Source organism: Homo sapiens, chromosome 5, assembly GCF_000001405.40.
Source record: "Homo sapiens chromosome 5, GRCh38.p14 Primary Assembly".
In the NCBI taxonomy this organism is placed as follows: domain Eukaryota; kingdom Metazoa; phylum Chordata; class Mammalia; order Primates; family Hominidae; genus Homo; species Homo sapiens.
The window spans coordinates 93,278,156-93,304,825 of NC_000005.10; the positions used below are offsets into that span (position 1 = coordinate 93,278,156).

The 26,670-nt window shown below is 37.9% G+C and overlaps 3 annotated features.

The window, feature by feature from the left end:
• Window positions 1-2,983: an enhancer, noted in NCBI's record as "VISTA enhancer hs1060". NCBI's record gives its function as "enhancer in: hindbrain (rhombencephalon)[6/14] | forebrain[10/14]" and the evidence as "EXISTENCE:transgenic organism evidence [ECO:0001131][PMID:17130149]".
• Window positions 20,841-22,615: an enhancer, noted in NCBI's record as "VISTA enhancer hs1172". NCBI's record gives its function as "enhancer in: forebrain[9/11] | eye[9/11]" and the evidence as "EXISTENCE:transgenic organism evidence [ECO:0001131][PMID:17130149]".
• Window positions 21,432-22,139: an enhancer, noted in NCBI's record as "OCT4-NANOG hESC enhancer chr5:92635293-92636000 (GRCh37/hg19 assembly coordinates)". NCBI's record gives its function as "activates a minimal SCP1, AML or CMV promoter by ChIP-STARR-seq in naive H9 embryonic stem cells {active_cell/tissue: H9 hESC(naive)}" and the evidence as "EXISTENCE:reporter gene assay evidence [ECO:0000049][PMID:30033119]".

Sequence of the window (26,670 nt, forward strand, 5' to 3'; positions counted from 1 at the left end):
TGGACTCATTCTGCTTCCAAATTTTTACTTTTTCTTTGGTCAATGTGGGAACCCTCTGACCAGTCATGAAAAGTAGGACTTGATGGCCCGTCATATGAAAAGCTATTAACATAGCCACAGTTGGCCCTGAAATATGCTTTCAAGAATTTAGAAGATTTGCCAACCCCTATTTGAATTTTTCTTCAGAAAAGTGCACTTTTATTAACACCCTCTTCCCTACTGTGGATGAAAATGGTCACAATATTCTCATGGGGAAAAAAAAGAACATTCTCAAGAGCCTCTGTAGATGGAGAAATAGAGTTTCTGGCCAAGAATAAAAATGGGGAAGTCTAAAATGTTTAGAGCCTCTGATTAAACCTTCAGTGGTATATTTCTCTCAGACAAAGCATTTGTCACAAGTAGCTTGTCTGCTTGAGTATGATTTATGTGGCTGGACTGAAATTGGCTGAATAATTTATGCTATTTATTGTTCTGGAAAGTTTCTTTTCTTAATAAATAAATAAATAATGCTGTGTTAAGAGAAGAGGAAAATAGTGGTAAATGTCAGTCACATGAGGAGGGAAAAAGTTATTTTTCCATGTTGGAAGCTAATAAAGTGTATCTAAGAGGAATGGTCCCCACATAGAAGGGCAGGACTCTAATAGGTGAATATTCTCAGCATTTTGAATGAAACCAATTGGCTAAGAGAAGCTGTCAAATAGGTGTGAAATGAGCTAAAATTACGAGCGATACACTTTCTTTTAAGGTACTTTGCTTTGTTCCTTACAGTGCCTTGCAGCAAAAAAAAATTTTAATTTAAATACTGAAAATGGAATGCAGCTATATTGATTTAAATTCACTAAGCAAGTATTGGAATCTATTTCCTGTTTCCTGCATAAGTGTGGAGTGTGTGTGAGTCTATGTATGTGCTCGCGTTTGAATGCTGTCAGCTTTCCTACTATTTATGAGTGAGTCACAGTTTATTAGAACCTACCACAATGTATATTAGCATAAAACACATAACTTGAATTGTCAGTTTATAAAATTTTCAGAATGTATGATTATAGTTCTGTTCTTACTGTAGATTTTTACATAGCTCCAATGATTTATCCCACCTGCTGAAACACTGGGCTAATATGAAACCTTGCTTGTTTTTTGTTAGGGTTTGTTTTTGTGTGTTGGGTTGGGTTTTAGGGGTTTTTTTTCTCTTTGGTTACCACTTTATCATATAAATTTTATTCCTGAAACCTATGCCAAAGACAGAGTTATAGACAAAAGAATGGATGGATGAGTGTGCAGAAATACATGTGGCTCAATTCAGCTGAAACTGTTTTATAGATAACTCACTGTAAGCTATGACTAAAAATATTTGAAATGTTTACAGGCTGCATAATATATATGTTTGACATATTAAAGGAGACTTCTATCAGCTGCTCAGTAACCATTCCAGAAAAACGCCTTAAAAGAACTCAAGCAAAATCACAGCCCCTCATCTGCAGTGCTGTTTCTAATTTGAAGGCAAATTCATCTCTGACATACAGCAGATTCTGTGCAGGTGGAAGCAAGCCCCTCTCTGCTCCTCTCCCTGCCAGTCAAATTATGTCATCAGTGAAGGATCACTGGTTTTTAATGATACGGTGGCCTCCATACTGAGAAGCAGTCCTAGCAGAGCAGTATGCATAGCCAATAAAATGGCTGTCACCAAATTACAATTGACACTTAACATCACTAAATCTGCAGTGTAATTCCTTGTGACAGTTGTGTAGGTATATTAGAAGAAAATAATTTACTTCAAACCCAGCATGTTAGACACATTTTCCTGAGCGTAATTCATGTCACATTTACAGTAGCCAAAGCAAGCAGTCTCGAGGCAACCTTAATGCAGGAAGAGATCATAGATACTAACATGTTCATTGAAGTATGATTATTTATGCATGCAATAAACAAAGCTAGAGCAGTTGTTCATTGTAGGTTTTAATTGTTATTGGGGGTTTTAATTGTTATTGGGTTTTAAATGAATATTAGCCTCTTTTGCTGTAGGGAATAAGAAAAACTATTAAAAAAAACAAAGCCACATTTTATACGGAAAACAGGCATCAGCTAAAAAGTCCGTTTTTCAGTATTAAATGGACATTCATGTGGCCCTCACTCCTACCACAGCTCCATATTATATTTGGACTTGAAATTCTGTGCCCATTACCACATGACAAATGTATACACATCCATCTTCCAAAACGCAAGTAAACTAAAAACAAGCCAGCAACTGTATTTCTCTTCTCTCAGAGTATTAACATTGGGGAACAAAGGTTTGTGAGGCAGACTCAGTTTCTTCTGGAATGCTATTTTGATACATTCATCTGGAGCAGGTCTGCAGAAAGACCCTTCCCTGGCCTTATAAGCATATATAAATATGTGACAGAGTTAAAGGTCTCCACTCTTCAGAATGAAGTGGTTTGAATGTCTGGCGAAATGGGACTGCAAAAAATTCATTCCAACTTTGTCTCTAGGCAATTCACCTTTGGCCCAGTGATGATATGAGTCTTTCTGCTGATGGAGGAGATATAATAAGTCAGCTCAGGCAGTCTTTAGAAGGCAGGGGCCTATTTGTTAGCAGAATGAGGCAGGTGTACTCTTCTATGGGAGATTAGCTCATCCCAGCACGATAATTACCTCACAGGAAGCCCTCAAGGTTACACATCAAATGCAGGAGCTGCAGATCCAGTCCTGGAAATGGGCATGCCTGTATCGTTAAGTAGTCTTACTTTAGAAACTCCAAATTTAAAAACACAAATCAGTGAGTGATAATTTCCCTGTCCTTTCATCAAGACATTAACACGTCTCCAGCAAGTGCAAGCTCACTGAAGAACAATAGCCTGGATTACAGCTCAGCTTCGAGGTGAGGGAATTAACCTCTGTCTGTCTGTCTTAGTTGATTTTCTTATCAAAGTGAGGAACTGCAAACAAGAAGTAAGAGAACCCACATTTGACTGGCTGAGGTCCTTTAGGATGTCTGTGCTATTTGCTTACTCCTACCTTTTGGAAAATAATTTGGAATGAATTGTGGATTTCCCACAACAGAATCACAGCATTACAGCTTTGTCATCAAAGTGCAAAAGGGGAAAATGGCAGTTGGAGTGACTTGGGTTTTTTATGTTACATTTAAGAACACAGATTGCTATTCCTACACCATCATGACATTGAGGTGGCCGTTCTAACCATGTCCTGGGCTGCTGAATGCTTTAGCCGTGCTAAACAGAGCTGTGTCACTGCCGCAAGCCGTGGGCAAAAGCTAGAACCTCTCCAGTTTTCTAGGTCAGTGAGGATGACCTGTGGAATTCTTCAGCATCACTGGTCCCTGGAGCACACTCCTGACAGTATAAGGCTAAAGAGGTGGCGGTGGTCTGATTGCATGACCACAGCTGCCAGAGTTTAGCATGAGGGGGCACCAGTCATGAGGGTGCACCAAGAAAAATGGCAAAAATAGAAGCAGGAGCATGGGCAGGGGTAACATGATTAGGAGTCAGGGAGGTTCACCAGCTTTTCAGCTAGAGATGTATCAAGCCAGGTTGTTTCAAAGGGTTTCTTAGGCAGAGGCACAAACATATTCGTTAGAAAAGAACATTTGGGGAAGGCCTTCTTAAGAATGCATAATGGCAAACTATTTCACACACAAACATCAGAACTGTAAACACAAATTTTTTTATTATTATTATACTTTAAGTTCTGGGATACATGTGCAGAACATGCAGGTTTGTTACATAGGTATACACGTGCCATGGTGGTGAACACAAATATTAATAGAGCAGTCCTGAAAAAGTTAAAGGGTAAAAGATATTTTTGTTAATAAATTGAGTTTGTATGTGATGTCTTCCCGTAAGAAATATCTATCAATTTTATACTCTGAAATGTCATTAAATTGATTATTCATTGAGGCCAGAAGAAATCTTGGTGCTCTCTCATATTGTGTAAGGTCTGTTCAGTGTCAAGGACAGTGTGACAACCCCTGGAACACTGTGTCTCATGGAGTGAATTTGGGCCATCTGGCACGGTGGAGCCTTCTGAAAACCACCTCCTCTTCTAAGACCCATGTTAGTTTAGGACACCCTGCCAGGACATTTAGGAGTCCCCAAAGACCAGCCCTATCACCATGCCTCGCAAGACCCAGAGCAAGAAAAGAAATCAAATAAATACAACTCCTTCTGTAGGAGAAGCCACGTGCAGAAATTGCACAAAAACTATTCACTCACTGATGATGTCAGAAAGCAGCATGAAAGCCTGGACACACTGATCAGAAAGTAACTTAATTTCTATTTTGAAAACATAAAATAATGTTATTCTTATATGAATTTAATGTAGAAAAATACCTTCATACAGAAGGGCTAGGTTAACAGAGGGCAGATGACATCTAATCTCTTAGTGTCCAGATGCTTCCAAACCAGGTTCTGCAACTCCCATTGTCAAAACAATTCTGATTTGTCACAGAACATCTGGCCTCTTGCCTCTTTATTAGGAACAGCATATTGGAAGATATTATTTCCCAAACTAGCAAATTTAGAATAATTCTATTAAAAAGGACTTTAAATATTTTCTTTTCTAAATACCCTCTATTTTAAAGAATGTCTTTTAGCCACTTTGGGGAAGAAAGTTGAATGTATGCACACATATATACATACACACTCAACAATTGCACATGCTGTCTCTACACACACACACACACACACACACACACACACACAAATACACCCTCCGTCATTTTATTGTTTACTCAACCTATCCTCACCCCTACCCCGACCCTTGGAAAATGTGGTTCTATTTGCAGGCCTTGTTAAGACTCTTCTATCACACTAAATACTCAGTCTCAATTTTAAAAATGAACACGTCTTTCTGAACTTACATGTTGAATATCAAACAAAGGCCATTTTAATGTTTTCAAGGCCAGACCAATATCATGGATAAATCTGAAAGGGATGAAAGTCAAATCATGAACTGTGTATGGCTTTGATAACCAAATAATTTCAGTGATTAAGACAGAGAAATGCGCTCTGGAATCACATTTGCATGATAAGGAAGGAGCACCACTTATTTGGGGGGTTCTCTTCTATTGACATAGATATCAGAAAAAGAAAAGAAAAATGTTCATTATGAAAACAGTTCTTTATTAGCTCCTATATGCTTAAGAATAATTTTTCAAATGAAGATTCTAGGAACATTTTAATTCCACATGAAAATGCTATTCTATATTTTGTAAGGTCTCACTTACATTGTAAGCTAAATTTTAATTTATATCCACTGATAGAGACATGTGACATCAACTGATCTTTAATATCTTATGTTTCCTTTCAAAGAGGGAAATCTAGAAATAATTATTTTCTCTATATATCTGGATATTTTAGCTTTATAAAATGAACATATAAACTGGACAACTTATTCCTTTTGTGTCCAAAGCACTATCAGTAAAGGAGGCAGCCTTTCTGTATTATCCACATTCTCCTTTTTAAATCCCATGTTATATATTATAAAATTTTTGTTCAAACAAGTCACAGAATGAAAAGATCTATATTTGTGGCACTGTTACATTTCATTTTACTGAAAAATACAATATAATACCATAATATGTCAAACTCATTTAGTTTATTTTTAAAAAGAGAGCAAAAATACATTTTTAAAGAAATTTAACATTTATGTTTGATATAAGCATATAAATTCACTTTTTGAATAGTTAAATTTGAATACCCAAACAGAATGTTAAATTTGTCCAAGTCACTCAAATTAGAAGGTTCTAGATTTTGCCAGAAATTAACTTTACATGATTATAAATAAGGATTTTTTAAAGACGTTTACATCATTATTATATAAGCTTTTAAGATTAAAGTTCTAGTTGTCTATTGTTACAGAGCAAACTATCCCCTAAACCTTGTAACTTACCATTTTATTATTTTTTATGATTTTGTAGGTCAGAAATTAGTACAGGTCTCATATTGGGCAATTCTTTTGCTGCCTTTCCACATGGCTAGCTTGGGCTTCCTCATAGCAGGGCAATCTCGGAATCATTATATTTCTTACACAGTAGAACAGGGCTGCAAAAAAGGAAATTCCAAGCGGCAGGAAGTATACCCTTCTAATCTTTCAAGGCCTAGACCCAGAAACTGTCACTGCAGTACTTCCATATGTTCTATTGGTCAAAGCAGTCACAGAGATCACCCAGACTCAAGCCTAGGGGACACAGACCTACCTCTGAACAGGAAAAATGTCAAGGATTTTGTGGCCATCTTCGATCCACTACAACAGAATGTTTCATTTTGGAATCATCTTGTTAATAAATTTTCCTTAAAAGGGCATACATGGCCTGGCATGGTGGCTCACGCCTGTAATCCCAGCACTTTGGGAGGCTGAGGCAGGGGGATCACGAGGTCAGGAGTTCGAGACCAGCCTGACCAACATAGTGAAACCCCATCTCTATCAAAAAAAAAAAAACAAAATACAAAAATTAGCCAGGCATAGTGGCACACGCCTGTAATCCCAGCTACTCGGGAGGCTGAGGCAGGAGAATTGCTTGAACCCAGTAGATGGAGGTTGCAGTGAGCAGAGATTGCGCCATTGCACTCCAGCCTGGGCAACAGAGTGAGACTCTGTCTCAAAAAAAAAAAAAAATGGCATACGCTGTGCCCCATTTCTTTATTGGGAACCACCAGTTTTCAGGACCAATTTTAGTGTTCCCTGTAAAATAGAGAATAACTAACAAGGAAAGTCATAGAAAAGTCTAAATATAGAAACAAATTATATGTCACATGTCACATGGAATATAAGCCTACTATTCCCAACCTAAGAGTAAGTCAAAGAATAAAACGTAAGACTGAATTCAGGGATTGTTGTTGTTGCTGCTGCTGCTGCTGCTGTTTTATTGTTTTAAGCTGGGTTAGGAAGAAATGGTTTAGATGCATAAAAAAGTAAATTAACACATGAAAATTTAAGAGTATAGCTGTCACACTGAAACTTTGGCCTCAAAGAGTTTATGTGTCTTACCAAAACCTCAATTTAATTCTGAAAATGGTTTTGAAGCATAATTTATATGCTCAGACCAACAAGACTGATTCCATAAGCCATACCCAGCAATCAACCTAATTACTGCACAATATTTCAGACAGCCCCCCAAATTAATCAAAGTCAAGTATATCCATACTAAAACAATCCTAAATAATAAAAATACAGTTTTCTCTCCCATAGATAGATATGGACTAGTCAAGTTGGTTGTAGGATAATATCTATAAACTAAATTCCATGTTGCCATTGACTCCCAAAATAAATTAGAAAAGATGAATCATTTTGCACAGACAGAAACTTTTGCTTTTGCCTCTTTACCTTTTCACATTTTATGCCTTCATTCAGGATGCTTTCCATTGCCCTACCATCCCTATTTTCTTGTCTGCTACTCAGCCTTTGAAATCCCAATCCAAGTTTGGGGTAAGGCTTAGGATGTAAATGCTGCAAGAAAAATTGCTCCTACTCCAACAATGAGAAAAAGCTGAGTCATCTACATCTCACCAGAAAACTGAATTGGAAAGACAAACTTCCACCTTTAGAAGTAACTGATTCTAAAAGGTGACAATCCTCTCTGAGGATAAACAGGACACATGAATTGTTTTGCCTTTGGCAGAACATGGGGGAAAGAGGCGGCAAACATAAAAGTGGGTGAGAAGAAAGCTAAAATTTTAACAAATTTTTAAAGGCCTAATGTGGGCTAACATGAAAGCTTGGAATCCTGGGAGCTCTAGATAGAAGAGGAGTCTGCACTTACTTGGAAGCTCTTTTCCATACCAGATACTCCTGAGAAAGCTTTGGAGCAAAGCAGAAAATCTGCAGGAGGTCACCCTTGGTGGAGTAGAGGCCCCAAACCCTCAGCAACTTATTTCATAGAAAGCAAAAGCATTCAGTCTCTAGACGAGGGACAGGAAACCCTGCCCCCTCTCAGGGCCCAGGCAAAGATCCACTGTTTGTCTCTAGGAGAGGTGTCCAAAATGCCCTTGTCCCATGTCCCAGGCAAAAAAAAAAAAAAGAAGAAGAAGAAGAAACTTCTCACTAATGAAAAGGTAGAAACATAGAAACAAAAGTTGTCTGCCCCTAACAAAGAGACAAGAAACTGCCCCCACAAATGCCATGATCAGGTATATTGAACTAAGTAAAGCCCACTAAGGGAAGGGTACCATCCTTTCCACTGGCTCCAGGCAAAAGTACACTACCACTGAAGGAGAAATAGAAGTAAAACCTGTATGTCCCTAAGAGAGAGGCATAAAATCTGCTCTGGCTCAGATTTTTGTGCTCATACAATGGTGAGATCTGCTACCACTGGAGGAGGGGCAGCAAATTCTTTTTCCCAAGACCTCCTCTGATACAAAGCAGAGTGAGAAGCCCCACACTGAGGTACAAGAACACAAGACTTGCCTAAGAATGAGGATGGACCAGTAGAACCAAGAATTTGCTGTTTCTACCACAAATCTCATATTAAATAACAAGAATAGCAGTCTTCCATTAAAGGAGCGGAAAGAATACAATAGGAGACACTCTATGGCACAGGGGGGCGAGGCCTGTTAAAAGCTGCTAGTAGAGCAGGAACAGTAATGAAAACTCTCCAGATTCTGGGTCCCCTATAAACAAGGTAGAAGAAGCTCGATGCTGGAGGAATTGAGACTGTGTTGCACTGCAGACAGCTAACTATAGCAGCAACAAAAATCAAACTTTATTTCTGATTGATTAAACCTCCCATACTAATGTTCTGACTGAAAAAGAGATATGCCCATTTCTAAATATAAATACTGATGACCTCACTGTGTGTTTTCCTGCATACCATATTCAGCATTCAGTTTAAAAATACAAGACATAAAAAAGCAAGGAAAGAAATCCCACTGTCAAGAGGTAAAGTCATTAACAGAACCAGACCTAGAGATGACCCAAATATTGGAACTACTAGATAAGGACTTTATAATAATGTGATTATTATGTTAAAGGATCTAGTAGGAAAAGTAAGCAATATTTACAAATAGATGGGAATCCCAGCAGAGAGACGGAAATTATTTTTTAAACCAACTAGAAATGCTAAGATAACAACATGGCAACAGAAATGAAGACTGCCTTCAACAGTTCTATCAGCAAACTGGACATAGCAGAGGAAATAATCAGTGAACTTGAAGACGGACCAATAGAAATTATCCGAACTAAAACACAAAGAGAAAAAATAGAGTGAAAAACAGAAAAAAACAAAAACAGAAGAAATATCTAAAGAGATAATGGCTAAGAATTATCCAAAGCTAAAAAATTACAACAAATTGTAGATCCAAGAATATTAGAGATCCCCAAGCAGAATGAAAAAAAAAAGAAAGAGAGAAAGAGAAGGAGGGAGGGAGGGAGGGAAGAGGAAAAAAGGAGAGAAAGAAAGGAGTGAGGGAGTGAATACATAGATACATTATAGGTCAAATTGTTGAAAATCAAAGATAAAGTCTTGAGGGTATTTAGAGGAAAAAAATAAATTATATGCTGGGAAACAATATCAACACACTTTTCTTTAGAAACTGTGATCATCAGAAGAAAACAATATGCTATCTTTTAAGTACTAAAAAATTTTTTAAGCCAACCCGGAATTCTATATCCAGGGAAATAACTTCCAAAAATGAAAGAGAAATAAAGCCTCTTTCCTATAAACAAAAAAATGAGAAACTTCATTGCCAGCAAACCTACACTATAATAAAGGTTAAAAGAAGTTTCTCCAATAAAAGTAATATGATACCAGATACAAATTTGGACCTACACAAAGGAATGAAAAGTGCTAAAAAGTAGTAAATATACACACTTTTTAAATTTTATAATTTCTTTCAAAGATAACTGACTGAATAAAGCAAAAATATTAACAACGTATTATGGGATTTACCAATATATGTAAAAGTGAAACATATGACAATGATAGTGCAAAGAATTGAAGAGAGGAAATAGAAGTTATTGTTTAAGTTCTTACACTATTATACAATAGTATAATATTATTTGGATGTAGATTTTGAAAGTTAATGATGCTACTACTTTTCAATAAACTCTTCACGAGATGCTGTTATCATTCTGCAGGATAGTCCCATCTGTCTTATTCCTATGCCTGGACATTTTTGCTTTGACCTTAGAAATTTCCCCAAATCTTGGGTTTCTTTAGTTTCACACTCACTATATAATGTTGGGGAAAATGTTTTTTTAATGTTGATAGACTTTTTATCCTCTGGACCTATTTCAAGTTTCAATGAAAAGATGGCCCGGAAACCAAATATAGCAAAGAAAAAAGTCCAGAGTGGTCCCAGCAACAGAGAATAGGAGAAAATCAAGACAGGTCGGTACCTCCAAAACTTCCTTCTGTGGACTATAAATGTACATCCTGGCAGATTGCTGACGTATTGTGACAGGAGCAGTGTGTTGGTTTGCTAGGGCTGCCATAATGAAGTACCACAGACTAGATGGTTTAAACAACAGAAGTTTATTTTCTTACAGTCCTGGAGGATCGAAGTCTGAGATGAAGGTTTCAGTGCAGTTGGCTTGCAGATGCCTGTCTTTCTGTGTCTTTTCTCTCTGGTTCTGTGTCCTTATCTCCTCTTCTTATAAGGATGCCGGTCAGATTGGATTAGGGCCCACCCCAATGATCTTATGAAACCTTAACTGCCACTTTAAAGACCTTACCTCCAAATACAGAAACAGTCACATTCTGAAAGACTAGGGATTAGAACTTAAACTTAAACACTAAATCTGAGGGAATACAATTCAGTTCATAGCAGGCAGCATACAAAGTTATCGATGTCAGAGGAGGCCAGCAGCCAGGTCCCAACCATGAGAACCCATGTAGTTATGTTCAAATATAAACCTAGGAAGAACTTGAGAGGACCAGAGCAGAAATTCAGTCTACAAGAAGTAGGTATTTAAAGAAAAACAAAACAAAGCAATAAAAATATAATTTTAAGTTATTAGAATGTGTTATATCTTTAGCATAAAATAAATAATTCAAGTGTTTTATTTATATTATTTATATACAATTACTTTAATACAAGTTACTTCAAATTTTTTTCTTTCTTTTTTTTTTTTTTTCAGACAGAGTCTTGCTCTATTGATCTTGGCTCACTGCAACCTCTGTCTCCCAGGTTCAAGAGATTCTTCTGTCTCAGTCTCCCGCGTAGCTGGGATTACAGGCGTGTGCCACCGTGCCCAGCTAATTTTTGTATTTTTAGTAGAGACACGGTTTCGCCATGTTGGCCAGGCTGGTCTTGAACTCCTGACCTCAGTTGATCTGGCCACCTCAACCTCCCAAAGTGCTGGAATTACAGGCATGAGCCACCGTACCCAGCCTCAAATTATTTTCACAAGACCCCATATAGGGCAGATTTCATTAATCCATTTTGAATATGAGGTCCTAAGAAATGAACAAGTTTACTCAAAGTCATAGAGATGACAAAGTCAGGGCATCCTGGGGCTCTTGCCAGGACACCGTCTCCCTGCATTAGAAAGAAAGAAATATAAATATCAAAAGTCTTGCTTTGGTGAAGTTTAATAAACTTAGCTTGCCTTGACTTTTACTTGCATGATTTTGTTCTCTTCTACCTAGCACTAGTTAGCATAAGTCATCCTAATGAAACCAACCCATTGCAAGTGTCCATAACCAACCCCTCATAATTGTGCAGCATTAATCTGTCTATTTACAGATAAGGCAATTTTCTTCAGAAGACAGGCATGTTTCCTCACAGATGACAGAAGACATCACTACCCACGGCATCTCCATACATAGATACATCCTCCCAAAATGTATGCCAGAAGACCCTGCTACCCCAGTTACTAGGAATGACTTTTCCCTAGTCTGTAGCAACAATCATTTTGTGAAGCCTGTTTCTTTACCTATATTTTGCTTGTCAATTTGCTTTGGCTTGATGCCATGGTTTCCTATTAGTTCTGCAATTCTCCTTAGTGCCGCTATGCAATGTATCTTGACATTTTCTGTAGTCACTTTGCTTTCAGTACAAGGCAAATACCACCCTTACAGAATTGCTGTGGGGATTCAATGGAATAATAGACCTGAAGGCACTCCATTTCTTTAAAAGTGTAACACTGACTATCTTAAATAAGGAGGTCACAAAGATGATTAGCGGAGAGCTCACAATTCAGTGGCAGAAATACACATTACATAAACAAGTGTCAATTTCAGCACAATTTAACTAGGCAGAAAATATTCATTCTCATAACAGAAGGAGGATTTGGAAGATAAAAAATGCTCATGAATGGCATGCCTGGTCAGGGGAGAGGCACGAAGATAGCAAAGAAAAATCAGCAGGGTGGTAGCCAGAGCTCAGCGTGTGTTAAGAGGACAGAAGTCTGATTATTTACCCTCTTGAGCATCCTTAGCAATATTATAAATAATTTTTGCATCTTATATCCTAAAGAGTGGTATATTTTTATTTTAGATTAGTGAGTTATTAGTGTTATATATTTCATTTTAATGAATTATTTGACAATTTATTTTATATAAACAATTTTTTTTAGTTTTTCACATTTAACAAGAAATTTATGTTATTTAATGAACTTCAATCTGTGTAGTAAAGAGCATGATTTTCTTGAGTAACACAATTTTAAAGTAACATGTTTTTATATGAGTACAGTTAAATGTGGATAGAAATTAAACTACACTGGAGTATGCTGTTGTAAATGAAAAGTCAACTGGAAAGCTATATTTTCTCTTTTTAACATTAGCTTTTTAAATACAGTACTAAACTAATTTTGGTTCCTGTACAAGAATTTGATCAGATGAATACAACATATGCAACTGTCGAAGAGTATCTTGAGGAAAATTTGCAGAATAATTATCATTTCTATACTCCTCCTCAAACTTGTTGCGTTTCAGTATCCTTATGTTTTGTGTGTTTCTTGTCCTTAAGGAACAGTTCATTATAGGTGTAAATTAAATAATCTATGTTGGAGAGAAACCTTTTTAAACTGGATAATATTTAACCTCTACAGTAGTTAGCAATATGGAGCTGAGATGAATCCCTTGAGTAATGGAGGCCTGAGAACACTCATCTTACTCTACTGAACTGCACATGTTCGTGCCATTAAATTAAATTAAAGATGCCATTACCACCTAGAATACTGGTTCCCAAAGTATGTTCTCTGGACCACTAGCTTCTGATCCCCTATGAACTTGTTAGAAATGCAAATTCTTAGGCCCTACCTCCGGCTCATGGAATCAGGGACTCTGGGGGTGAGGCCAAGAAATTTGTGTTCTAACAAACCTTCAGATGATCAAGAAGCACGCTGACATTTAAGAACACTCACCTAGCACAGGTTGAAATACCACACACCCCTTCAGGAAGCATCCTTTGGGGAAACTCTGCCCTAAAGGGATTAGCAGAATAAACCTCTCTAGGACTTCGAAGTGATGCCTCAGGAAGGCAGGCAGCCCACAGAAGCCCAGGCAAAAGAGACCGTCAGATTCCATTTACATTATTAATATGGCAGAAATACCCTAGGGATGGAAATGCTTTCTTCAAAAAGAAAAGAACAGAAAGAAAAATCTGGGTCAGTCTCACATTTGAGGCATGTTTTTAAAGAGAGTATCAGCATTAGAGGCTGACAGTGAATTGAAACCCTGGGCTAGTCCTCAGCAGCCTCGTGGCTCGCTGTAGGAGGGTAACTGAACAACACTTCATCTGTAAAATGGAGACAATAATCTGTCCTCGTGGGACTGAGGTGAGATGTTATGACATAACATAAGTAAAGGGAAGGCTAGCACAAGAGCATTTGTTTATTTACGTCATAGGGTGGTAGAATTATTAACCAAGGAATCATTTTGGTTTAATTCTTCATTTATCTTTCCCACCCTCATTCCCCTACCATTTCTACCAGGGGCCAGGTTTTGGGCTCTCTTAACTCTAGGTTGGTTTGTGACAGAGCAAAAAGCAAAAGCTGCAGAAGACAATTGCTCTTCATGTCTTTTGTGAAAGTTTGAACTTATTGTGAAGAGACAGAAATGGCTTTGAGAAGAGTAAGAGGGAGAGTTCCCATGCAATGCAAGGAGGTCAAAGCCCAGGGGCTACTGCGAGGAGTAGGATCCCTGCACTGTTCCATGGTAGTGTTTGCAAAAGGTCAAGACCCAGGTTGATGAGGAAAGGAGGGCTTTGTGTGGCTTATAAGACCAGATTGCAAACACAGGGTCTCATAGGCTTGGCAAAGATTCCTGGTACAGAAGTAAGGCAAAAAAAAAAAAAACCCTCCTGATCAGCAGTGAATATCCAGACTGACAGAATGGATGTCTTAAAGGTAATTACCTCAGAGGCCAGTGATGGTCAGAGAGTACACAGTGCATCTGGGGCCTTTGCACAACATAGGAGACAGCAAAAGAGAAAACCCTAAATCTGGGACTATCCTTTTTGTCAGGCTCACAAGATGGCTAGGAGATGGATGGTAGTTATCCCAAAGAAACAAAGAAATACGATATTTCTTCCACATCTGAGTTTGCAGACTGATAATGATACCCTCTACTATGCTTTTTATTAACAGCCATTTTGCCTTGAGAATTACACAGATATTTAATTAATGAAAGCAACAGCCTTTCCATGTACTGAAGAATGAGAAGGTATCAACCCTCCCCTTTTACCTTTATGAAGAGTAAAGTGTAGGCCTAGACTGAAAACCTACCAATAACACATATGGGTTATTTTTAGCAAATGTAAAATAGTGACTTTTAAAACCCCATTAGAATCTACATTTATAAAACAGGAATCTGGGTTTTAAAATACTTCTTACAATTAAAAGTATTTCTATTTTCTTTCTTTTTGTTTTTTGAGACAGGCTCTCATTCTGTCACACAGGCTGGAGTGCAGTGGTGCAATTATGGCTCACTGCAGCCTTGACCTCCCCAAGTTCAGATGATCCTCCCACTTAAGTCTCCCAAGTAGCTGGGACTACAGGCATGCGCCACCACACCTGGCTAATTTTTTTTTTCTTTTGTAGAGACAGGGTTTCACCCTCTTGCCAGGCTGGTCTCAAACTCCTGGGCTCAAGTAATCTGCCCACCTCAGCCTCCCAAAGTGCTGGGATTACAGATGTGAGACATTGCACCCAGCCTCTATTTTCTCTCTTTTTTTTTTTTTTTTTTGAGATGGAGTCTTGCTCTGTCGCCTAGGCTGGAGTGCAGTGGCATGATCTCGACTCACTGTAACCTCCGCTTCCCAGGTTCAAGCAGTTCTCTGCCTCAGCCTCCCGAGTAGCCAGCCTCTATTTGCTTATAAAATTCTTTGCAGACAAAAATGGCTCATTGAGCTAGGTTCTCGTATTAGGCCTTTCTCATGCTGCTATACCCAAGACTGGGTAATTTATAAAGAAAAGAGGTTTAATTGGCTCACAGTTCCACATTGGTGGGGACGCCTTAGGAAACTTACAGTCATGGCGAAAGGCACCTCTTCACAAGGCAGCAGGATAGAGAATGAGTGCTGATTGAAAGGAGAAGCCAAGCCCCTTATAAAACCATCAGATATCATGAGAATTAATGCACTATCATGAGAACAGCATGGGGGGAAACACCACCATGATTCAATTATCTCCACCGGTCCTGCCCTTGACACTTTGGAATTATTACAATTCAAGGTGAGATTTGGGTGGGAACACAGAGCCAAACCGCATCAGTTCTCCTATGAGTATACAATGTGACTGCAAAGGCTAATAAGAAATTAGCAGGCCCTTCTACATGAGAGGCCCAAACTAATTAGGCTGAGGTAAGAAACCTGCTAAACTATAACAACATCAGAAGTAATGGTAACTTCTCTGAGCACCTGAGTGATAAATTGCAGCATCCATATTACTGTGAAATAGAAGCAGGTAGAAATATCCCAACAGAAAAAAAAGGAGAAACAATGTGACATCAGTGGCATGATGACCCATGACCTAAACATGAGAAAGCTCTAGAAAAATAGGCTATTTGAACACATTGGCCATTTTAAGTCCTCTCCTCAGGAAGTGCCAAACTGCTTCTAATCTAAAGTTACAATTCAGGCAACTAGTTTGGTACTGGCAAAATATACTTAAATAAACTGGCCAACTTGATATAATTTGCTGCCATCAAATCCACCTTTTGAAATATGTTGCCTGAGGCAATTCTGTTCTGACACTGCATTTACATGCATTTTGAAATTCTTGGTGGTAACCAGAAGAATGACTATCAATTGAGTCAACTCTCCTTTCCTTTCTTAATTTCTGAGGCAAAGCAAAACACCCTCTGTGTATGAGAGGAACAACCTCTACCCTCCCATAAAAGAGAAATTAATTATCCAACCCCATAAACCTGTGAAGATTTTTCCTCTGAGAGTATGACAGCCCCACCTCCAACCCAACAGGTCAAGGCATAGAGCAGAGTGTGATTACTGTGAGTAATATTTATGGTATCCTAGAGCTTTGCTAGCTATCATTCAAGGGTCGATGAAAGTGGTACAAACAAGGAGAAAAGTACAAAAACATAAAAGATTCAAAAGAAGCACCACAGGTTGTTGGTTGAAAGGATGGGACTCTGGGAGCCAATTGCCTGCGTGGTTTCAAATCTCGGTCCAACCTTCCTACCTGTGCAACCCTCGACATGTTGCTCAGCCCTCTGTGCATTTGTTTTCTTATCAGTAAAAAACCATAATACACTGTCCGCCTCGTAGATAGTGAGAATGAAGTGAATTAATAATTGTAAAGTGCTAGAACAACACCTGCCCTTAGTTAAAAATAATATATATATATATATGCTAAATAAATAAAAGAATAATCTATGAAGGAATAGTAAATATTTATTAGAAACAACACTGGGTAGAGGTGGTTAGGATGTCTTCAGATCTTTATTTTATTTCTTTACAACTGATATATTTAGTTTATAAGAAAACTGGATGAACTATTCAGTAAATGATATCTTATATTTTTATCAGGTCTAATAGTTTATATAAAGCTGTAACATTTTGTCCAAAGAATTTGTGTGGGTGAGATGTCTCTATACAAGACTTAAGTCTTAGATGGCTGTGGTTTGTTCATTTGTTTCTACTGTTGGTATTTTCAAAGTCTGAGATTGAACTAGCTTTCACATGTCTTGTTGGACAACTCTCGGCCAAGTTACCAAAATACAAGTTTTATTCCAGATTTATTTATTGGCTGCAAATTTTTACATAACAATATCCAGGGCTTTTAGAAGGCAAGAGGAACATAAAACACAATACTCACTCTCCAGAAGCCAAATTCAGAAGACATACAAACAGATATAAAGTAGTTGAAAACAATTTTGAAGAATCAAATTTAAATAACACTTATGATATTGTTACATGCCAGTGCTTTCACATTTCTTATCATTTTCTACCTCATTTGTTAACATCCCCATTTTATAGAAAAGGCAAGAAAGACACAGAGAGGTGAAATGACTTGTTCCAGCTCCAGAGTTAATATGTTGTTGAAATCTGTTTTGGAACTGAGTTTATCTGCCTTCAATCCAGGGTTCTTTCCATTCTACCTAAGCTGCCATGATGATCATCAAATCTAAAGACAAGACGCGACGTAGTAGTACAAATGAAAGGGAATCAAAGTGAATGGAAACAAGCAGAAAAATCTCACAGGGAAGAGGCTGGACAGTGGTTAGGATTTGAGGAAGTAAACAGGAAGAGAAAGGACCACAGTAGAAAGCTGAGAATTAGTAAAATCAAGAATGCCAAGACAGGCCAGGCTACACAGCAATAAGACTTGGGTATCCTGGTAAAGATGATTCCAGAATTAAGATGGAGGAAGAAACTCAAGCAGCAGAGTTTAGGCACGATATTGGGAAATTTACAGCCATTGCAGGCTTTTGAGCAGAGGAGTGGGTGTTACAAACATTTGTTTAGCAGCAGAATTAGAGAGGGGAGAGGCAGACAGAGAACTTCTGGAAGACTGCTGCATTAATTCAGGTAAGGGATGACAAGTGTCTGGGGCTGTCTGATTACTGTGGAACAGAAAGGAACAACATCACAGCACTAACTCTAAAGGAAAAATTTTCAGAACATAATAATTTGAAGCATGAAGGGAAGCAATGAGTTAAAAATGCCTTCAGGGCTTTGAATGTGGGAAACTTAGACAATGGCAATACTGCTGATAATTGTAAGTGCTGAGCCAGGAAGGAAGATGGGCATCCAGATCTGGGACAGAAACCAGCAAAACCTTTGAGTTGGAAGGAAATAAACACCCCAGTGGAGGTGCCAAACGGAGAAACAGAATGAGTTTAATTCTAAGTTTATTGAGCTCCATGTGACACTAGGACATACAAGTAACAATGTGCTGCAGAGAGTTGTACAAAATGATTCAACCTTTGGGCAGGAATGAAAATAGAAAGATGAGAGTCACCAACTTAGAGAAAAGGGTAGAAAGTGAGTCATTTGACTAAGTAGCTTAAATGGCCACTGAGATGTTCTACCTGTCCACAAGTCGACAAGAGGAGTTTCATTTTGTTCATCTCTTGTTCTGTTTTAGTTAACATAACAAAATGTTCAGTATCTGACTTCTGAGGAGCAGGCAGGCTATGAGGAGCATTCTCATTATCTATGCTCTTGCTTTCCATTTTTGAATAGGAGTAGCCACTATTTCTCTGCTGAAACCCCTGAAAAAGGAACACATGAGAGAATTAAAATGTGTTAAGTGATTTGAAATGCTAAAAATGGCACTTCAGCATTGGCTGTATGAGAATTTTAATATTCCTGCCAGCTGAGATACAGGCAATTTTATATTTAATTACTAAAATAAATGTAATTTAAGAATTTTGTTACACACCTAAAGTCAGAAAATAAAGTGCTCTCTTAAGTATAATAAAATGCCTTGATCTAAGTTGGACAGATTATAGCACTACATTCAGCATTGGAAGGGAGCATCAAAGTGATCTAGCCCAATCTCTTGGAGTTGGAACCCCTTGGACATACCAGGAGGTGTCCACTAAGTCACTGCTGGATGGCAGCTGGGCTGCACAATTACTTGTACATAAATTTGTCAACTGTCCTCAAACATCACCCAAGAACCTTATTCTTATTCAGTCTGCAAAGTGACCTGATTTGGTATCTTAGATTGTCATGGACAGCAGCTGCGTCCAATTCTAACATTAACCTAACTTAGGACAAAAACAGAAATCTTGGAAAGTTCTATTGCATTGGGAAAGCTTACTATAGAAAACACAAATCTGGTCTCCCAAGTCCACAAGAGAATCATCAGAGGTAGTTAGAGCAACTGAACTACAGGGAATTACGTTCTTTCTTCCCTAACATCTGGTATGGATTTATAATGATGCAAAAAAAAAGAAGGGAATCATTTAAATTAGGCATGTGGATTTGTGCCTTGACCTTGTTAAGTGAAAAGTAGGTGTTACCACTATGAATTTCTATGAAACTGGTAGTAAATGTGTAAAAGTCAAGACCCCCTACAGAATATGAAGAAGCCATGAGTTGAAAGGGTGGAAACACAAAATGCTAGTACATTTCTACTAGGAATATCTAGATAAAACTTAAATGATTTATTACAGGGTTGAGTTAGGGCCTTCATTTTTTTTTCTTTTTAATACAGCAAAAACATAGAAAAAGGTAAAAAAAAAAATGAGGGTACAATTAAGAGAAAGTACAATTAAAAGAGAGCATCATTGTCAAATATTCAATACCCAAATCCACTAGCTATAGATTTCCAAGACTAGACCTTATAAAATATGAATGTAGCATAAAGGAGATGAGATGTTAAGAATAAATGCTTTTCTTAAGAAGAGTTTGCCATGACATTTAAGAAATTCTGTGATTACTTTTTTATCCAAGAAAAGATTATTTTATTTCACTCAAGCTTTAAAAATTCAAATTAAACTGCTAGGCTTTTTAAATGGAGTTTATTGTCATATTCTTTAGCTCCATAATTTAATATTTTCCCCCATTCCCACTTTTGGTCAATCCAGCCTTCATTTCCACGTTGGATCAGGACACTGTGCAATAGAGCGGGTGCTCAGAATGTTTGGTCTTTGACCTCCACTTCCAGAGAGTTTTATGTAGAAAGCCCATGATTATTGTCTTTGCCTTCTGCAACCTCTTTTTTAACCTTGAAGTTTAAAGGTTCACAGCCAGTGTCTGGCTCTTATTATAGGTTTTAAGATGAAGTCTATACAGTGAAAAGAACTCTGTTTTTATTTTTTCAGAATTATTGGCTTTCAAGCCTTTGGATTCCCTGCAGATAATTACTGTTTTGGCCTGTGATTTCTCTGATATTTAATGCCTTTGAGAGGAATAAATTACCTATATAACAAGAAGGGTTAATTGGTAGTTGTGAGCCAATGGATGTGCCCCTTGCATCTTTTCTTTGTTTTTTGTTTTTGTTTTTGTTTTGAGATGGAGTCTCACTCTGTCGTCCAGGCTGGAGTACAGTGGCACAATCTCGGCTCACTGCAAGCTGTGCCTCCTGGGTTCACGCCATTCTCCTGCCTCAGCCTCACGAGTAGCTGGGACTACAGGCGCCCGCCACCACGTCCGGGTAATTTTTTGTATTTTTAGTAGAGACGGGATTTCACCCTGTTAGCCAGGATGGTCTCGATCTCCTGACCTCGTGATCAGCCTGCCTCGGCCTCCCAAAGTGCTGGGATTACAGGCGTGAGCCACCGCGTCCGACCTGCATTGTTTTTTTTAAGTGTCCTGCAAGCTCTGACTACCTGAAGCATCCTATTGGTTTTAACCATCTCCTACAACACAACTTGTGATCTGGATTCTTTACTAGTGGAAACTAAAAGAAATAGAGAAGAATTTTGGTAGTTGATGTTGAGGTTTCCTCTGTTTTTGTGACATTTGTACTCCTTCAAGGTGACCACATTTCTTCCTAATATTCTGAATAATAGTTCTATAAACCTGATATCTATGCCCAGATCTAGTTTCATAACACTGGAATTCAAACTTAGAGCTGAAATTTCCATGAAGTTAATTCTATCAGCATTCAGCCTCCCTTAGCTGTTTCAGGAATTCATCTTCGAGAAACTGTGCTTTTTTGTGTGTATTTGTCTTATTAAATCCGTGAAACTAAAAATGCTTGAACAAAGTAAAACATTAACACCAACTTTCACAGTAAATTATTTTGTGTGAATGAAAGCTTTTTAAGAGTGTAAGTCTTGGCATAATTACCCAAAAGTAGTTTAGTAAATGCCATGAAACATTACATCTGCATATCAAAAATGCATTCTGTATGCTACAGGAAAATTGTAGTACGGAGGCAATTTTCTAATATTTACATATTTATAGCAAGTGCCTGTCACAGGAAAGTTAAGCTCACCTGTAAAACTTTCATGTTACGTAACATGAAGAACGTCTCATGCTTGGGTGTTCTAATAACCATGATATTATTTTAACAATTACACTATTTAATACCTTGGATTAGTTCCTCTGATAGTGCTATTAGCTGTCACTATACTCAATAATAGGTGACTTCATCTTTGTTATGACATGATCTTTCCTACTGTTTGTTGACCTTTCAATACAAGGGGGAGGGGACGCTCCCAGCCCCCCAAACCTTTAAGCAGCTACTGTAAAGCTGCGGTTTAATTCTCAGCTGGAATGTTTAGAAACCCTTGGTGCTAAATACCTCAGTGGACTGCTTAAACACCAACAACAGCCTTATGGGGCCTTACCCGACCTTAAACACATCTTTTTTTGTTGAGAATATTGCATTCTGCCACAATTCTGTGGGCTAACCCTGGGCTCACATTAAATATACCAGCTTCATTGAAGCTTACTGAATTGAGTTGAGTTGTTCTTTGTTTTATTCTCTCTCTGCTTCACCCCCCACTGGGACTGGGCAGCCTTTCTTCCAGTGGAGCGTGCTTTAAAGTAACCCAAAGAAGAGGAGGGGGAACGGGGGAGAAAAACCAAAAGGTGCAGCTAAGGCCCGTAATTAGTCTTGATCCTCCAAGTCTAAAATATTTTAACGCCAGGTTTCTGATTGCAGTATGGGCAAAGTGGATTTGGGAATGCAGAAAAGTAATTAGGTCTGTGCATTGAAGTGTGGAGAGCATTTAAAAGTGAATGGGTGGTTACTACATTCTTGGCAGGCTGTTTTTTATCTTTTCATGCTCTGCTGTTGTTAGAGGTGATGGGTTTATTGCAGTTTTTGCACTCTGGAGGTGGCTATGTTTTTCTTAACCTAGCCTTTTGCTCTCCATCTCAAAAATGAATCCTCGTGGTGTAAGGAAGAACAAGCGAAATTTTTAAAAAATAAAAACAAGGCACATTGACCGAATATTATGCGGTGAAGCAGAATAAGTTGGGAATAAACCTCAATGCCGCAACAGGTCACTTATAAAGATTCTGGGTTTAATTAATGACTCACTGAGCACAGGACTAACGGGAGACAATGGTCACCCCAAGGAGAAGGAAAACAAAACATGGTATTCTCTAACCATGTTCACAGAGCCATCCAAACTATCTGGGGGGAAAGCTGACATCATTATGTCACTTCTGGGTCCTGGTATAGAAGATACAAACTATAAATGTCCGAGTTGTCAAAAATGCATGCTTTTGATTGCTTCAGTCTATAGAATTGCTGCAATTTGCTAAGATCACGTCTCTTCAGCCCAGACATTCATGTCTGCCAGTCAAGTCATCATCAGTCCTGGCTTGAAAGTCAGAGAAAATATATGTGCAAAAAATAATAATAATAATAATAATCTGGAGAGAAAAAAAAAGCTGAGGTAAGAATGGGTAAAATTTAAATAGGCTTCTTTTAATGTTCACAAAAGTGTTTCAGCTTAAAATAAATGATACAAAAAAAAGTGTGTTTCTTTAGCAATACAGACCTATACAAGAAAAAATTGCATGAGGTAACTTGATCTTTCTAAAAACATTTAGTGAGATCTACAGAATTTTTAAAGGTAGAATCAGATCTTACTAATGGAAAATCAAATGAAGGAAACAAAATGTGGAGTTTTGGGAGGTTTTGTGCTGGTAGTTATTGTTTGGGAGTTGGGGGTTTTCTGTTTGTTTAGTTTGGTTTTTAGTTTGGAAATGTGCCTTGAGAAGGCCACTTCAAAGATGACTGAACTGAAACATTTATGTCCTGACAACTACTTCAGCACACTTCAAATGTATACAAATAAGTTACCTACTTTTTAACACTTGTTAAGGGTTGTATTCAGTATCTTAATTAAATACTAGTCTACCATTATCTAGTCTGCTATATGAGAAATATATTTCCTTAGCCACATATGGCTCTTAGCTTATTGAGTTTGTCTGCATTTCTAGTCAATGAGAATGAGCACTTTACTGTTTGACATATTATCACCTTAGCCCTGGCTAGACTCAAAGCCATTTCTTCATCTCAAGTTTTCCTGTTAAAAGATTAATACAGCATTAATATTGCTGACAACCTTATGTTTCAGGTCTTCCAGAAGATACAGATAAAATATATGATCTGATGCTGTTATAAGTAAGATTTACATCTTCATCATAGCTTGTCTATAACCTGGAAAACTTGGAAACAACATAAATATCTAGCAATGAGGAACTGGTTAAACAAATGATGACACGATTATGCAATGAAGTGCTATGCAGTCATCAGGAATGATACTGGGGAAGACTAATAACGAGAGAAGATATTCAAAATATATTAAATGTAAGTTTATAAAGCAGGTTATAAGGCAATATGCATAGTATAATCCTATGTGTATATAAAATAGGTAATAAATTATATAATTTATTTAAATATATAATTATTGTCAAAAAGAAAAAAGTCAGCTCCCCCACCTTTTTGTTAACAGAGCCTGATGCAAAGTGAGGCATATTTTTTAAAAAAGAGAAAAATATGCCAAAATGTTAATAAAGGTTACCCCTGAGTTGTGAAATTCAGGGTGATTGTATTTTATTGTCTCTACTTATATTTCCTAAAGTTTATTGAATTAGCTTATAATAGGACAAGATCATTTTATAATCTAAAAAATGATTAATAAAAGTCAATTAAAAAGAAATAACTTATCAAACTATGATATTTAATTATCCCTGCATATTTTTAAAAATACCCTTTATGATGTATCCTCCTGAGTTCAAGAGGCAAAACAAAAACAAACAACAAAAAACAGGTTTCTCTCCTCACCTAGATCCTATATTTGTTGTTGTACCTGAATATAAGCTTCATTACCCACAGTATTTCTCAAAGATCCCTCTCTGGTTGCCTAAAAGGTAGAAAAGGATTCCACAGTTGAACTGTATTTTACATTTGGAAAGACCCAGCAAGAAAACGACCCCTCTGCTTTTCTGTCTGGAGGCATAGCCAGCTCATGGGCTTCACTTCGCTCTGACTAGATTCTACCCAGAATGCTCAATTCCAGTCCTGCGCCAAGTACAAGGTGCCCGTGCTCCCTGACCCTCCCTGAACCTAGAAAGCCAGGTCCACATTAGGACTCAGCCCCTTATGTTGAGGCCACCTTCCTTCTTGGATGCCTGATGTATTCCTCATTATGCAAATGGAAAATAAGCACCAGCATATCCAGGTCAGACACATAATGTGTATAAATAATTGCTGGGGGAAATACGTAGCTCAGTGAACTCATCTAAAGCCAAAAGCTTAAGAAATTTGTGTCCAGCACAGACACCCACTTGCTGGGAGCCCATGGGCAAGTCACTTAAACTCTCTGTGTTTCATCTTAAAATAGAGACGATAAGAATGTTGGCCTAGACCCCAGGGAATAGCAAAAGATTGTGAAGCACTTCAAAAATTCTGTATCAAAGTAATAGGTGCTATTTAGGGAAAAGGTCATGAAATCATCAAAAACATCCTGAAACCTCAGGGAAAAAAAACCCACTGTGATTTCACAAACTGTGATCTAAAAGGCATAACTAAATTCGCAGAAGCCCAAATTTACAGACATACCTAAAGCACTTGCCACAGTTCATTTCAGACGACTTTTTCTGCAGAAGTCTCATTATTCTCCTTAAGCAAAACATACCCATCAGATGTTTGTGAGAATTCTCTGGCTTCACGTGGTTTAGACAAAAATCCTGCCTTAAGATGAGTTGCTGAGAAAGTTCTCGAAAGCATCGCTTATTGCAAACCAAATTGTATTCAGCAGGTAGAAATTAGCACGTGGGCTAGATACAGCCTAGGATCACAAAAACACACATGGAAGCCACAAGACTGCTGCTCTATAATTATGTGGCTTTTCTGCAATAGTCACTGTAAGCTTCTGTGGCTTCCATTAGGGACATAATGAAGAGTAATTGACGGCGGGGATGTTTCTGGTCTCAATCCCATCCCCTTCTCCACCCTCCACCCTCTGAGTATTCCTTCCTTCGGGGCACAACATCCTCTTACAATCTTTGATCTGAGACAAGGCAGTGCCCCAGTTGCAGTTTGTTGTGGTATTTTCCAGACAGTTTACCACATTTTTTTATGTGGTCAAAGAAATAGAGCTGGTAATTGACTGGCTATCTCCCATGGTCTAGGTCACAGCCTTCAGCCACCGTCTTGTGATCCAGTCTGTGCCCACATACAGGAGATAAGTAGAGAAAATTCCAAAGACGCCAAAGCAGGAAATGGAGCTGTCTTATGCTTCCTGAAATTTCTAACCTTAAAACAACTCAAAACAAAATAAAAGAATGTCCCCTTCCTATATTTCTGATACTCTGTTGTATCATTTAAAACTCATGTCCATCTGGTATAACGTTTCAAAAACTGGGCTTTGGAATTAGACAAAACCCATCTTCACTTCTTACCTAAGTGGCCTAGAAGTAATTTAACATTTCCTTACCTCAGTCTCCTCATCCATAAAATGGGGATAATAATGCTACTACCTAGTGTTGTACAGGGTTTAGAATAATACATACAAGTACTTAGCAGATTGCCCAGCATATAATAATTGTTTGACTAATGGTAACTATTGTTCTAATTATTGTTATATCAGTTGCTGTTTTCCCTATTTGGTAACAGAGAATACGGACACTCAGGAAGATTAAGTGGTTGGAAAGCCAGGATTCAAATCCAAAAACTGCCTCCAAAATCTATGTTGTTTGCACTCCCCGTTATTTTCTCCATGTTTGGGAAATAGATCAGAAGGACAAGCTCAAAATTCTACTTAGGTACTCTAACCATGCACATGAAATGTTCTTAAAACATGAGTCCAGACAAATATAAATACACTCTTTTATCCTAAGCAGCATTATTATGGCATCTCTTGTGGTGAGTACTATGCTTGTTTCAAACCCACAGTAACCATGCTTGCTAGGGTACTCACAAATGAATTTCTCAGCACCAAGGGCAAAAGAGAGAGCAAAAGTGATCATTTCTTTTGCCCTTTTTTCTTTCTTTCTTTGAGTGGAAAATCCATGACCTCTGTGACCCTCAACCCAAAACCATCGCCCAAGGCTTGGTATAGTTAGGGGTTGAGGGGTATGGGAAGGGCTGATAATGTTAGAGAAAGACAAACTCCGAGCAGAAACAAAGGCCAGTAAACAGAGTGAAAGAAGCTTAGTAAGGGGGAAAGAAGGGGGGCCTAGAAGCAGAGAACAAGGCACAGAAACAGGACTTGGAGAAAGATTGAATAAATTGTTTGCTTGTGCTGTTTAGCAAAATCAGCTAAACTTGGCTTTCAAAAAGTTTCACACAAAATCATTTTCACTGATTATTTTTTGGCACAAGAAATTTTGTAAA